The 14,868-nt window shown below is 46.5% G+C and overlaps 1 protein-coding gene across 5 annotated transcripts in view; it reads right to left on the bottom strand.

Annotated features, from left to right (window-relative positions):
* The window catches only part of CAPN14 (calpain 14), a 60,902-nt gene that overhangs the window by 14,197 nt on the left and 31,837 nt on the right, over positions 1 to 14,868 (bottom strand). For 4 of the 5 annotated variants that reach the window (XM_011532864.4, XM_011532865.2, XM_047444407.1 and 1 more), the window contains 11 exons: positions 14,610 to 14,746; positions 13,199 to 13,373; positions 12,218 to 12,280; positions 9,997 to 10,082; positions 7,157 to 7,231; positions 5,879 to 6,042; positions 4,683 to 4,846; positions 4,147 to 4,155; positions 2,021 to 2,226; positions 1,066 to 1,102; positions 506 to 562 (listed from right to left, as the gene is read on the bottom strand). In XM_011532864.4, coding sequence (XP_011531166.1) covers positions 506 to 562; positions 1,066 to 1,102; positions 2,021 to 2,226; positions 4,147 to 4,155; positions 4,683 to 4,846; positions 5,879 to 6,042; positions 7,157 to 7,231; positions 9,997 to 10,082; positions 12,218 to 12,280; positions 13,199 to 13,373; positions 14,610 to 14,746 — 1,173 coding nt within the window. The remainder of the gene's footprint in view (positions 1 to 505; positions 563 to 1,065; positions 1,103 to 2,020; positions 2,227 to 4,146; positions 4,156 to 4,682; positions 4,847 to 5,878; positions 6,043 to 7,156; positions 7,232 to 9,996; positions 10,083 to 12,217; positions 12,281 to 13,198; positions 13,374 to 14,609; positions 14,747 to 14,868) is intronic. The other variant, NM_001321270.2, reaches the window with a different exon arrangement.

Consider the following 14,868-nt stretch of genomic DNA (forward strand, 5'->3'; position numbering starts at 1 on the left):
TGGGTCAGCCCAAAGGAAGAAGCCACAGAAACCAAGCGTGTGTCCCAGGCCCTCCCCCTTCTTATCAGTCCCACCTTCTCTCCAGGTGACCACTCATGGGCCCCTTCTCCCTGCGCTCCCCTCCAATGACCCTCCCCAAGGCCCCCAGAGCTTGTCATTGTCATGCTCTGCACCCCCCACCCCCTGTCCCACTCCCAACTCTGACATTCTACTCTGCTATATCCCATTTTCTCAGGGATGAAAGATTAAAGTTGCTTTCCCTACAACTAATCAATGAGCGTCCAAGAACAGAGAATCATTTTACAGGAGCCTTCTAGACAATGGCTCCACTCATTTGTCTAAAAACTTGAGGACTTTAATAGAAAGTGGCAGTTTGGGCAATAGGTAGCCTTAAATCACAGTTTCTAAGCAGCCTCAAGCAGGTGCAAACCTATACTTTATAAAATGAGAAGCTCCACTTCGTCCCCTGCTCTTCCTCACCCCCCACCACACCTGTTCAACTAACCTTTTCAAAGAATTTGGTGAAGAATTCATCCTGCCTTTCATTTTGGTCTTCTATCTCCTATAGGAAGAGACACACAGAAAGACACAATTATTCACCTGTATAAACGGACTTTCGTGCACACCCTAATGTCTCATGGCTTCCAGGTTTCTGAAATCCATGAGCTTGACTTTGCATCGTCTTTAATTTTACACCATAGCATTTACAAACAGCCCTTGCTTCTCCAATTTTTCCTGACTCTGGGGAAATCACAAACAGTGAAATGGACAAAAGAAACACCAGATAAAGAGAAGCAGAAGAATGTAGAGATGTAGCTCATACTGCCGGGGTTCTGGACCCTCAGTGACAAGGACCTGATCAGAAGGGTAGTTCTCTACTCTTTGTTGGTGCAAAAACAGCAAAGCCCAGGTACTGTTAGGATACAACGGGTAATGTTTGCCATAGAACAGGGTCTGTAAGGATCCGCATATCTCCTCCCCTGACTCCTTAACTTGAAGGGAGAAACCCAACACCCTGGCTTGGAAAGCAGTCCCAGCCATATGGAATTCCACCAGACTACTCACCTTTGAGAAGACGACACCAGAATTGCTGCCAATTTCACTGAGAACAAACAAACAAGAACAAACTCAGAGTTTCCTCTTGGGAATTTTTTGGCCAATCTTCCCCTTCTCCTGGGAGCTCGTCTTCCACGTTCCTTCACTGAGGCACCACAAGGGCCCACCCAGCTCTCACACCTCACCTCCTGCTTCCCCTTGAACTGTACATTCCAGCCATGTGCACAGCACACTGCTTGTAATTCCCTGCACCCTCATCTAACTAGTCTTAAAAGATGAGCATGAGACTTAGTGGTCTGACGTGGCAGTGGGGCCTGCCTGAGATCAAATCAAACTACCTGTGGCCGAGACATAAAAAACAAACAAACAAAACAAAACAAAAAGCACAAAACCTGGCAGGTAAAACAATCATAGGCAAAATAATATGTTTGGTTGGGATATGTGCACATTAATTCAACTGGATACAGTAGTAGAATGGAAGCCTGCTAGTTCATGACAGCCTCCCTTCATTTGAACAACCCCTATGCATCTTATAATAGTCACCTCCTCCCTGAAGCCACTCCTGCTTCCCCCAGGACCATGGGAGTTGGCTCAAATTCTCCTCCTTGAGGCTCTTGTAACACCCTGTGCATATAAAATGCTTACACTGGATGCACTGGAAGATCAATAACTGCTCATATATCTGTGTTCTTTCCAGACCTTGAACTTCAGGAGGGCAGAAGCTATGTGTGTTTTATCTTTTTCTCTCTAATGTCTAGCATGGTGTTAGTTTGTGAGTGGAAGGAGGGTGGGAAGGAACGGGAGGGATGTTCTCCATGCAGAAAGTCACCTGGTCTCCTGCTCTCCCCATCTCCCTTTTGTCTCAGCAGCAGAGATCCTGGTTTCTGCCATTTCCAACCTTGCCCTCCTTGCCTGTCCTCGTCCAAGTGGTCCCCACCCTCTAGGAGAGACCTTGTGTCCTTACTAAAAGATGTGCTTCCTGGAGAAGACCCTGAGGACGAACTCTGACTTCTGGTGGGCCTCCAATATGCAGGGCACGATGAGGTACGTCCCTGGTTCCAGACACAGCTCCTGACTCACTTCTTTCTCCTTGAGAAACCTATCAGGCTGGCTCAGAGGAGTGTTTCTCTGGAAGAACTCAGGGGGCAGTCTCCTCTGGTCATCATGGTACTGTGGGTAGAGGACAGAAGAACAGCAAGGGAGGTGATGACCCAGGGCTGTGGCCAGGCCTGAGGCCCTCAAAGCTCTGAGCCAGGACTAAGGTGGCCTCTGCTCTGCCAAATCCAATAGGCCCCAGTGGAGGATGAAACAAGTGGGGAGGAAAGGAAAAACCAGAATATGTGTGTGGAGGGCTGCACCTTTGCTGGAACCTATCAGGGGCTACATAAACACGTGTCATTTGATTTGACTTACCTTAAAAACAACACCAGCACTAAATGATGTGAGGAATGTCCCTGTGCCTTCCATTTTATGGCTGAGGGCTCTGAGGCTTAGACGGGTTAGGTCATCTGCCCAGAGTCATCAGCTGGGTACAGTCCCAGCCCGATGGGAATTAAGGACAGCTGAGTTCCAATGCTCCTGTTCTTTACCCTTCCTGATGCTGCCTCCATGTATGTGATATGGCATGACTTATGGACACAGATACAGATGGACCACGACCACCTCCCCACCTACACCACACAGCTACACACAGATAAGCTGGACATTCCGCATCATCTCAGGGAAAACACCCTTGTAAAGGACAAAGAGAACTGGGCAAGAGCTCAGAAGACCAAAATCAGGGCTCTGGTTCCGACATTTCTTGGGTATCTGCTTTATCTGATTCATATTCTCTCTCTCTCTCTCTCTCTCTCTCTCTCTGCCTCCTTTGTTTCTCCATCTCTCCCTATTTTTCTCTCTTGCTTACTCTCCCCTTTGTTCTCACTCAGGGCTATAGAGGGAGAGGAGACCCATACCAGGATCCTCTCTCCAGTTTATACACAACTGCTAACAAAGACATCACCCATCCAAATAAACAGATATTTAGCAAATTCCTCAATGTTTGGGAAATAAAATACATATCCTGATGAGGTAGGCATTTTTTTTATAAGACAATGAGAACTAGGGAATCATCCAATTGCCCTCTTTGCCATGGGCTACTAGGAATCTCAGAGCTAAATTGCATAATGAGCCACGGTAGCTGTCCTGGGTTTAGTTTTCCTGGTAGAAGCAACTGCCTACCTAGCTCTCATCCCTTTGTTATTTTTCAATGGCTTTGAAATTTTGTAGCTGATTTGCAGGTTTCCTCTGTTTACAGTTTTTTATTGTAGGTTGACCCAAATTCTATTTAGAAGTAGGCATGACATAAATAACTTTTTCTTTTTAAATTAATAGGCAAATTTGAGAGTGTTCAGTATTCCTGTGAGAGAAACAACAAACAAAGACCCTGCGTAAAATGGTTTCTCTACAATAATCCTTTTACTTGATTCAATCCAACCTGAGAAAATTAAGCATTTTACTCCTGTTTTCTTTGGGAAATAAAATAATAGCTGCCTCCCTCAGAAGCTGGGATTCCTTGGGCCTTCCTACCTGACCCCTCCTGGCGGCCACAGCAGCTGAAGCACGGAGGTGTTCTTGTCCCTCTGCTCATGCTCCTGCCACATGTCCCCAAGCCTTTGTCCTTTCTCCCTAGGGAGGTGGGCTGCATGGTCTTTGATGTCCCATATGTTTTAAATCTATTTTATTTTGGGTTTCATAACCCAGTCATGATTGTAATTTATCATCTTTCCTATGCTGTGATGGCCGTCAATATTAGCCCTGGGTATTTGTGTAGGAATTTAATAAATTCTAAAATGTATTGGTTCTCTGCTAGGCTCTAAGACTTTCCCATAGATGCATGAGGATCTCTTGGGGGTCTTTGGATAAAAAAGATTAACAGATGCACTTTACTTTCATATACACACAGGCAGCGGGCAGACATTCTCATCATCTGGCATTATCATAGCTTCTTACGCAGTAGAAGCCTGCTCCAGTCTAACTAAATCCTGTGGAGGCTTGGCCACATGTGATGTCACCCCAAACTAGGGCCACCCGGTCAAGTGCAGAACTCACCTTGTTCATCTAAAAAACAAAAACAAAAACAGAAAAAAAAAAAAAAAGAGGAGAGAGAGATCTCATTAAGCAGGGAATCTGGCTCTTTCATAAACCGAAACCCGAATAGAAGCTGATATACAAGGCTCTACCCAGAAGCCGTGTCCCCTCCCACAAGACCTGCTGTTCTATCAGTGACATTTTAATCTATCATTGGAAATTCTGGAAAAGAGGGAGGGAAAGAATGCTTGGCTTTTGGGGAGAGGAAAAGGAAGCCAATATTGATCATACTATGTGCCAGGCACAATAACAAGCACTACCACATAATCCTCTTTTATTCTACCCTTTGCCTAAATATCATTGTAGAAACTGATGGCCTAGTGCAAGAAGGTGACTTGTTCTAAATCACATGTTCCTAAAGGACAGAGCCTGGATTTGAAAACCCAGGTCTGTGAACAGAGACAGATGGTGAAGAAGACAGGAAACAGGAAGACATGGTAACTGTTGGTGACCCCCACGCTTGGTCCCATGCCCCTGTGGTTCAGAGGTCCACCTACCCTATACAGGTAGAAGCCAATGGCGAGGAGAGGCTTCCGCTTGCGGCACCTGTGCCTGGGCTTCTGGAGCAGGGACACCAGCACGCTGCAGGGCCTCAGGGATCTCCTGCCCTCCTCGGGCCTCCAGACAGACAGCAGGAACTGCGGGTTCTTCCAAAATGTGTCTGGAGCAGAACACAGCAAGGTGAGAATGGGCCCCGGATCCCCATGCATCCTGCTTGCCGAACCACTAAGAGGTGAACAGTCTGAGGACGCCTCTGCCAGGATTGACACCCTGAGGCCCACTGGGACAGAGTCGGGGTCCCTTCAACCTTGGATTTACGCCCTCCCACCTTGCTCTTCCACCTGGAGGTCTTCTCCAGACACACTGACTGGAGTTGTTCCCACCACTGTAGCCTTTGTCTTGCTCAGTGCCTGGCCCAGGTGTTATACCCCACAAGCATGTGCTACCTGAGTAAGCAATTGTATTAACTCCCTGGGGAGGTGACCATGATCCTAGGGGCCTTTGCATTTTAATAGACGCAAAACCTTACCTTAAGGTCAGCTTCAGACTATGGGGGAAATACTGTGTCAAAAGGGGGACTCCAGAGCTAAGGCCATCCTGGCCTGCTGAGGTCACACCCCACAGGCCTTGCCTTCAAAAGGGATGGCTCACTATCTCCACAGTGGAGGAAGGGACAGGGTCACCAAACCTGTCCCATCTTGGGAGTCCAGACAGGTTTGTCTCCCGTATCTAGTGATCCTGGGAAGCCCTGGGTTTGTGTTTCTCCCAGGCTCCAGGTGAGAAAGACCAGATACAATTTCTATTTCAATCCTGCCTAGTTAGGGGGTGGTTACTTCAGTGTTTTCAGTGGTCTTGTCCTAAAACTAAAAAAGATTCTCCCTTGCCCCTGCTTTTATCATGCCTGTGTGCCTGTGACCCCCGGTGCTGACTGCGACAGGGCAACCCTCTGGGAAGATGCAGCCCCACAGGCTGGCAGCTTGACTGAGAGGACTCTGCCTTGGTGCACATTGGGTCCAAAGGTACCCCATCTTCCCTGTGGTTATAGCCCAGGGCCCCAACACACAGTGAGGCAAGCAGAGCCTCCTCCCCACTCAGCCAATGCAGAATTCGTGCTGCAACCCCCTGTGCAGTCATTCTGACACCCCCGCCCACAACCTCACCCTGAGAGCCCTGCTCCTGTGCACATGCTCACCCTGCAGCAACTGCCTCTGGCCACCAGCTGTGCTCCGCTTCTCCCATCTCCCCTCCCGCATGGTGTACGTCCACTTCTGGGCCGCCTCCTGGCTCAACAGGCCTGGGGTCAGTTTACAGATAACCAGGAGCACGAAATGTGTTTTAAAGTCCTGCAGCGTCATCCTGTGGAGAGAAGAAGGAAAAGCACAAAGAGATGGACCAGATAACGCCTAGTTATCAGGACCCATGGGGAGGGTGAAACGGAGCAGTGGGCATCCCAGCCCTCTCATGGACAAAGACACCAGCTCTTGTGCAGAGCTGAGCTGACGATAGGCACATCAGCTGGGGCTGGCTAGATCCCTGTGAGGGTCCATCGTGGGGGGCTGGAGCTACTGAGAAGCCCCACCCTCTGGCTGGAAGCAGCCGGCCACATGGCTGACCGGGGGAGATGTTCCAGTTTCTGGAATCATGGTGATAGCAGCTGAATTAAGGCATAGCTAACTAGTCATTTGTTTTATCTATAAATGTTCAATAAGAATTACATATCAGTTCTTAATCATTAATTCATGAAGATCTTTGCCCCTACTTGCTAACTTGTGGCCTGCGACACTCTATTTAAGCTGTCTGATGCTCAGTTTACTTAACCATAAAGTGGAAAAAACAGGAATTTGCAGAGCTTGAGTTCAGTGAAAGACCTTCCAAAGGGAGAGGGCGGTGGCAGGCTGTACTGGATGGTTAATGGGAGCAGTCCTTGGAACGAGGGTTGACATTCACAGTAACGGTGGTGAGCAAAAGCAAAGGAGAACTGATGGGTCCATTTCAGACACCTAGAAGCAGCATCAGCTCAGGATGTCTTGGTGGCCTTTCAAAAAATGAGGTGAGCAGCCCCAGAGTGGGTGGCAGTGTTACTCTGCTCTGGAGGGCACTGGTCAGGGGCCTATCCTATGACAAGACTTTGCAGTCTCTTCCTACCTCATGGCCTTTTCAGGACAAAAAAGGCAAAACCTGTTTTGAATACACTGAGCAAGAGAGCAGAGAGGAAGCCAGAGAGGAGGAAACAGCCTGGCTGAGCCCTCGCTGAGCTCCACCCTAGTGGCCTCTACTCTCATCACAAAGACAGTGACCGTTTATTTACAGGCACTGTTTGTCCTGCTAGACCGTGAGCTCCTAAAGGGATGGTGCCTTATTGATCTCTGTACATGAAGTTCCTGGCACCCATAAGGCATCCAATAAATGTCTGCTGGATGGGTTTTCAAATGTAGGCCAGGACATTTGTCCAAGTCCCTAAGTCCAATACCAGAATTCTCCGTCATTGTCTTTCCTCAGAAGCAGAATCTTCTCCTTGGGGCTCAGCAGCTCCCATTTACTTGAACTGAAAATAGAAAAGGGAATGAAAAGCTTGTGGGGAGCATGCTAGAAATTCTTTAGTAAAGGCTCTATAGTGTCATTATTTATTATTATTTTCATACTACCTCAGACAACTAAATTTCCCATTCCATATTATACAGTAGCATGAACATGAATTGATAGCTTACTATGAGCCAAGCACTGGGCTAGATTCTTGACATACATTATTTCATTCAAGGCTAACCACAACTTTGTTGTTTTCATGTTAGAGATTAGGAAACTGAAGTTAAGAGAGATTAGGTCATTTGCTTGAAGTCAAATATCTATTAAACGTCAGAGCTAACATTTGAACTTGCATTTTTCAAAGCTCATCATTTGAACTTCTACTTCTGGCCATGAAGGAGTAAGACTGTCCTGATAGCCTCCTACCATCAAGAAATAAAAATGGGACAAAATATGAGAAACTGTTTTCAGATATTGGACAGCAGGCAACAGGGGTCTGTGATCCCAGGAGGCTGGAAACAAACGAGGTGAGCCCTAACATCACCTAGGCTTTCTTCCTGAAGGTAATTTCCTGGCCAGCGCTACAGGGAGAGGGACTCAAAAAAAGAACATAACAGTCTGGCTGAGTGGAGGAGACAGAATCTGGAGTTTGGGGAGATCCAGACAGCCAGAATTTGCTGGGCAAAGTATCCGAAAGGAGGGGGCTACATGAAAAAAAGGAGTTCCAGGAAACTTCACAGGGGTTCCCTTGCGTCTTTGGCTGAGCTTTAATCTGTGCTTTCTGAAAGCGAAACTCCCTAAGACTGGACCGTAAGCAGGACACAGTGCTGGGAATCTCAGGCATTCCTACCGGACAGAGTTAAAAGACTTTATTTATTTATTCACTTATTTTTGAGACAGACTCTCACTCTGCCACGTACGCTGGAGTGCAGTGGTGCGATCTCAGCTCACTGCAACCTCCGCCTCCCGGGTTCAAGCAATTCTCCTGCCTCAGCCTCCCAAACAGCTGGGATTACAGGCACATGCCACCACACCTGGCTAATTTTTGCAGTATTAGTAGAGACGTGGTTTTACCATGTTGGCCGGGCTGGTCTTGAACTCCTGACCTTAAAAGATCTGCCTTCCTCGACCTCCCAAAGTGCTGGGATTACAGGTGTGAGTCACTATGCCCAGCCAAAAGACTTTATTGAATACATGGAATCTTTACTAGAGATCCCAGAGGGTCTACAATTTAGTAGTGGAATCAAATTATCCCTGAAATAAAGGTTTGTCTTGACCTTCCCTAAAAGTGCTTAAAAACTTCAAAGTATCAAAACAATCCCTAAGTAATGTAACTACCTACTTTAAAAAAAGTCCAATATTCTTTAAAGAAATACAATAAAATTCAGTACTCTGAAACTAAAATTTACAATGTCCAGCATGCAATAAAAAGTTATTAGCCATATGAAGAAGCAGGAAATATGATCCGTGACCTGGAATAAAGAAACAGTCCATAGAAACCACCGTAGAAATGAGAGAGATGATAGAATTAGCAGATAAGGACATTAAAACAGCTATTATAAAAGTGCCGCATATTCTCAAGGATGTAAAGAGAAACACGGACATAAAAAGGGGAGAAATGGAAGATAATCTCAAGTGAAATTTCTAGAATTGAAAACATAATATTTAAAATGAAAAATATACTGGATGGGATTAACAGCAGATTAAACACTACAAAATAAAAGCTCATCATTTTAATATTCACTATACCTCTGGATCCAAGAACTTAAGAAGGTTGCCTAAACTAAGATCACACAGCTAGAAAGTAACAACACTGTAATTGTACCCATCATCTATCTCTAATGTTAGTGCTTGTTCCTCTATGAAAGAAACCGCCACCAGCAACAATATGATGCTAGACTTCTGTAGCATGTTAAAATTTATGTATTTCTTTGGATGACATCTTCCCACATAGATTCAGTTCCTCTAACAACACTGTTTACTAATGTGTAACAAATATAATGCAGCACATTCTATCAGGAGGAATATTCAACTTGTGTTTCTAAGCCTTCATTTTATCAATATAAAAATGATTAAGTGATAATGTGTATATGGACACGTTTGTAGACTCTGAAGACCTGTAAAGGATTAAGTATTATACATCTTCATAATGACAGAATGAAGGACTTTAGGACTTGACCTCCCTTTCTGCCTGTGCCCTACAGCCAGTGTCTAGCCTGCAAAACCCGCATTTCTTTAGGGCTGCCATTAGGCAGAAACAACCTAAATGTAGGCACCTAATCAGAATGCCCAGAGGCTACTATATGTAATCAGAGTGTAGAGTCCAATCCAAATCTGTCTACCTTTGACTCAGCAAACCCAGGTGTGCTGAACCATGCCAGGGAAAGACACTGAACCCAGGCACCAAAGACCTTGGTTGAGTCATGCTGTATGACCTTAGGCAATTCAATTAATCCAAGTTTCTCTATTAGTAAAATGGGGATAAAACTATCTACTTTGTAATAGCGTTGTTTGGGGGATTAAATGAGATAATAAAAATTCAAAAGGTTTAGCACAATGCTGGCAAGCCCTCAAACAAACATCAGCTTTAATTATTATAATGAAAGAGAAAGCAGTCTCTATACCATAAAGCATCTTCTAAATGTGAGGGATTGAGCTTCCCCGTCTAAAGGCTTCCTGATCCAGCCTAAGACCAAAGAAAGCACACATTTGAATCTGTGTGCAAATGGCAGCCTCCTTTGCCTAACCTACCTGTTCTCACCCCTCCAAGATGTCCCCAAAGTTCACCTGTCACTCCAGTCTCCTTTCCATTCCACCTTTCCCCAGGGGTTCCGTAGCTTGACGAGATATTCAGGTCTATGTTTGCAGGTCACCTGCATAAAATGAGAGGCAGTTTAGGTGACTGGGCTGAGTGCAAACATTCCAGAGATCTGAGTGAGACTCGGGCCTGGAGCTGAGCACTTGCAGTGGAAAATCACAGCCCCAGAGAGAGCTGGTAGAGGAGAAAGTGGCTCTGCTTCTTGTACTTACAAGCTGTGAGACCTAGGGCAAATCAGCTAACCTCTCTGTGTCTCCATTTCCCGATCTGTGAAATAAGGTCAATAGTCATACCTATGATAGTGGGTTGAATGGTGATCTTCCCTCCCCAAAGAGGATATGTACACTTAGAACCTGTGAACATGACCCTATTTGGAAAAAGGATCTTTGCAAATGTAATTAAAGTAAGGACCTGGGTTTGAGATAATTATGGATCAGGGTGGGCCCTAAATCCAAAGACAAGTGTCAGAAGAGAAAGGGAGAGGACACAGAGAAGGCCACGTGAAGATGGAGGCAGAGAATGGAGTTATGTAGACCAAGCCAAGGAACACCTGGAGCCACTGGAAGGTGGAGGAGGCAAGAAGGGATTGGATTCTTCCCCAGAGCCTTCAGAGGGAGCATGTCCCTGCTCACACCTTGATTTCAGACTTCAGGCCTTCGGAACTGAGAAAATTAATTTCTGTTGTTTTCAAGCTCCCCTGCCCCCAACATTTTATGGTAATTTTTTGTGGCAACCCTAGGAAACCAGTAGACCTTGTGAAAGGAAAATAAATCTTGGGACCCCAAAATCACTAATCTAAAGGGAAAAGTCAAGTTGGGAACTGCTTAGGGCAAACCTGCCTCTCATTCTATTCAAAGCCACCCCTCTGCTCACTGAGATAGATGCATATCTGGTTGCCTCCTTTGGAAAGACTAACAGAAACTTGAAAGAATGCAACCATTTGTCTCTTATCTACCTGTGACCTGGAAGCCCCCTCCCTGCTCCGAGTTGTCCTGCCTTTCCAGACGGAATCAAATGTTCATCTTACATATGTTGATTGATGTCTCATGTCTCCCTAAAAAGTATAAAACCAAGCTGTTCTGACCACCTTGGGCACATGTAGTCAGGACCTCCTGAGACTGTGTTACAGGCGCACATCCTCAACATTGGCAAAATAAACTTTCTAAATTAACTGAGACCTGTCTCAGATATTTGGGGTTCACAACCTACTCAGAGTAGTGCTGTGAGGATGAAATGAGTCCACGTTTGTAAGGCAGTTAAACAGCATTTAGCACACAGTAAGTGCTATATAAATTTTGTTAATAAATATGGAAATAAATTAAAAGCTCTGGGCACACAGACCAACATAGTTGTTGGAGATCTAGAAGGAAGAAGTTAAGTGTGAATTGAGTCCAAGAAATTTGAAACAGAGTTAAAGGAAACTGGAGTACTTGGGAAGAGTTGGGCCCTCTAGAGAATATCAGAGGTTCTTTAACTTAAACCTGCTGACTTCTTATCTCCATGCTTTGCTTACACTGCTCCCTCCACCAGAATGCCCTTCTCGCCCCGTGCAAATCTATCCATTACAAGGACCAACCCAACATCACCTCCTCTGTAAGAGACTCTTCTGACTTCTCCCCAGCCCAACTCGATGGAGGTCTTTTCTCTTATCCATGAATTCCTAAAGTCTTTCATCTACACTCTCTTCTCTCAGTTTCAACTTTGCTTCCTCCTCATTTTCAGATATGGTTTGTGACCATACCTGACTGTAAGCCCTTTGTAGGCAGGTCCTGCCTGGTGTGTCTTCCTCTCAATGCCTAGTAGAGCTCAAAAGATGGATAGCAATGGAGACTGTCATAAAGAAGTGTGTCAGAGAGGAGTAGAAATTTGGGAGGGAAGAACCAGATGAAATGGTTGTTCTTGGCAGCCCAGAGTGAAGCAAAGTTCAAGGAAGGGTTGTGAGGTACAGCAGGGTGGGAGGATGGTTGGCTGAGGGCTGCCCCAGGGGATGAGGTTGGGATGATGCATTGGTGGTGGCAAAGCCTGGACCCACCACTTCACCGCAGGAAATAGATGCCGAGGCACAGGGACCCACCAAAGACTTTACCCACTCTCCAGATGGTACAGAAACTAAATCCACCAAGATAAGCTAGGGTCCAGAGAGGGAAGGGCAAGGCTGAGAGGGAAACCGAAGGGCCAACCTCAACCCACCTTCCTGATTCCTGTGAGAGTATAGGCATGGCCTTCCACCAGCCCATTCTCCAGAATCTTCTCCTGCAGAGACAAGAGAGGTCCTGATCAGTCTTCTGTTATGTACAGCTTATTCTTTGAGTCGTGGGAAGGCTGTTTGGCTGGAGCAGGGGTTTATGGAGAGAAGTGTGGGAGATAATCATGGTATGGTACATTGCAGTTTTCAAAGCTCTTTGGTATCCATAGTCTCATTCCACCCTCTCATTAAGTGAGCCATTCTGCAGTGATCATGCCATACCCTCAATTTTACAGAGGACAAACTCTATTTAGAGTTGAGTCAATGTGTGAGGTGACACATTTGGCCATTAGTGAAGGCAGGGCTGAACTGAGGGCTTCCTATTCCTGTTCCATTGTTTCAAGTGTTATCAAATAGGAAGTGGAAAGTGCCTTGCATGTAGCTGGCACTTAATAATTGTTAGCTTCCTTCTCTGCACATCATCTTCTTTTTCCTACTGCCTTGCCTGTCCTGAGGCCCCAACACTGCTGCTCTGGTTTTTTTGTTTTTGCTTTTTAAAACGGAATCTCTCTCTTGTTGCCCAGGCTGGAGTGCAAGGGTGAGATCTCGGGTTACTGCAACCTCCGCCTCCCGGGTTTTAGTGATTCTCCTGCCTCAGCCTCCCAAATAGCTGGGATTACAGGTGACCATCACCATGCCCGGCTAATTTTTGCATTTTTCAGCAGAGACGGGGTTTCACCATATTGGCCAGGCTGATCTCGAACTCCTGACCCCAGGTGATCCGCCCACCTGGGCCTCCCAAAGTGCTGGGATTACAGGTGTGAGCCACCGCACCTGGCCTTGCTGCTCTGGTTTGAACACCAGGACCTCAGCACTAGGAGCTGGGTGGAGGCCCTGAGCCCACACCCAGGTGAGGGTAGTGGTGGTGGATGGAGGGCATGGGTGCAGGAGAAGAGGACATTCTGCCAGTGGCAGCCCAGTCTCACCCCTGAGTGGGTCTGGCAGCCAATGAGGGTTCTGTTGTAGGTGGCTTCGATGAGGATGTCCCAGAGGTTGCCATGGGCTTCTGCCAGGTTGATGGTCATTGTCACCCCTCCAGTGAAGTCTACAAGGGCTTCAGACACCTGTCCTGACTGCAAGTCTTCATAGGAACCAGAGAGCCTGGCCAGGGAAGAAATAAACATGAGAGGAAAAAAGTATCATGAGTATTTATAATTTTATGTGGCCTCGGCATCCACTTTTAAATAGGAGTCTAGTTTTCTCATACCAAAAGCAGAGCTCAGGCAACCCTGACATAGTTTCCAATACCATACCCATCCTGAATGGCTCCAGCTGGTGGTCATAGATAAAACTTAGAGGCATCTCTCCTGCCTAGAAGACTGGGAACCCCTCTTTCCCACCACTTCCTTTAAATGGACCATTCAGACGTTTGCCTGAGAACTTAGTGACTGCCTGTCACTCACAGCGAGATCTCAACTAGTGCCTGCTTGCTTTGAACCCATCAGTTAAAGCTGCTTGCGGGAAACCTGTTGGGACAACACCCTGGACTCAAGAAAAGGCATGTGTCCACCACAGGTCCATTTTCTCTCTTTCCGCCTGGGCCCCCTGACCTCCACATGCATGTGTGCATGTGTGTGTGTGCATGTGCGTGTGTGTGCATGTGTGTATGTGTGGACGTGTGTGTGTGCATGTGCGTATGTGTGTGCGTGCATGTATGTGCATGTGTGTGTGCATGTGTGTGTGTGCATGTGTGTGTCTGTGTTTGCGTGTGTGTGTGCATGTGTATGTGCATGCGTGTGTGTGTGCACTCCATACATGCCAAGTACCCTCTAGGGTCTGTAGGTATGAAAAACTCTTAAACTTTCATATTGCAGTTGTGTCGTTGAAGCTGTGCCCACAATCTGACCCCTGATGATCAGGCCGCCCCACAGGGACCCAAGCAGGTGGATCCCCTGCTGCTACTCCTTCATCCAGACCTCTTAGCTGCTGGGGACAGCAGTGATCAGCTACGTTGAGAGGGTTTCATTCAAAACAAAAGGAAGAGGCATTTAAACTGTAGATTAGATGGGCCAAATGAGAAGTGAAGCCTTTGCTTAGGTTTTCTTTGGGTGTATCTTGCTACTCCTTCCTTCCATCCCAGGAGCAAAGGACAGAATATACACTCAGAGCTCCTATCCCCCTTAATTCTATCCATTAGGGAAAGGCAAAACTCTTGAATGCAGGTTTAGATGAGGTGACCCCTACATAAAAGACTGAATACGTTGTCACTTCTATGTTGGCTAAGACATGCCTCAGGATCTCATTTCATAAACTTTACCTGACTCCACTCCCCTCCCTCAACATTGAGAGAGAGAAAAAGAAGCGATGGGAAGGGGGATATTTCTGCCGGTTTCTTACTTGGCATAGGCCTTTTCCAGAAGTGCTCCCCAGAACAAGTTCTTATAGGTGGAGGAGACAAAGACCAGCTGGCCAGCCTCATTCACAGGCAGACGGTCATCGATCACCACAGGAACCCAGTTCCCATAGTGCCAGAACTGGAGGGAGAGAGTGGCCCCGGGTGAATGAGGACTGCTGCAGATGGTGATCAGCCCAGAAGGTGAAGACATGGTCCTCCAGGAACCCTTTTTCCTATGACTCCCTCTGGGCTGAGGACCCG

Source organism: Homo sapiens, chromosome 2, assembly GCF_000001405.40.
Source record: "Homo sapiens chromosome 2, GRCh38.p14 Primary Assembly".
Taxonomy (NCBI): Eukaryota; Metazoa; Chordata; class Mammalia; order Primates; family Hominidae; genus Homo; species Homo sapiens.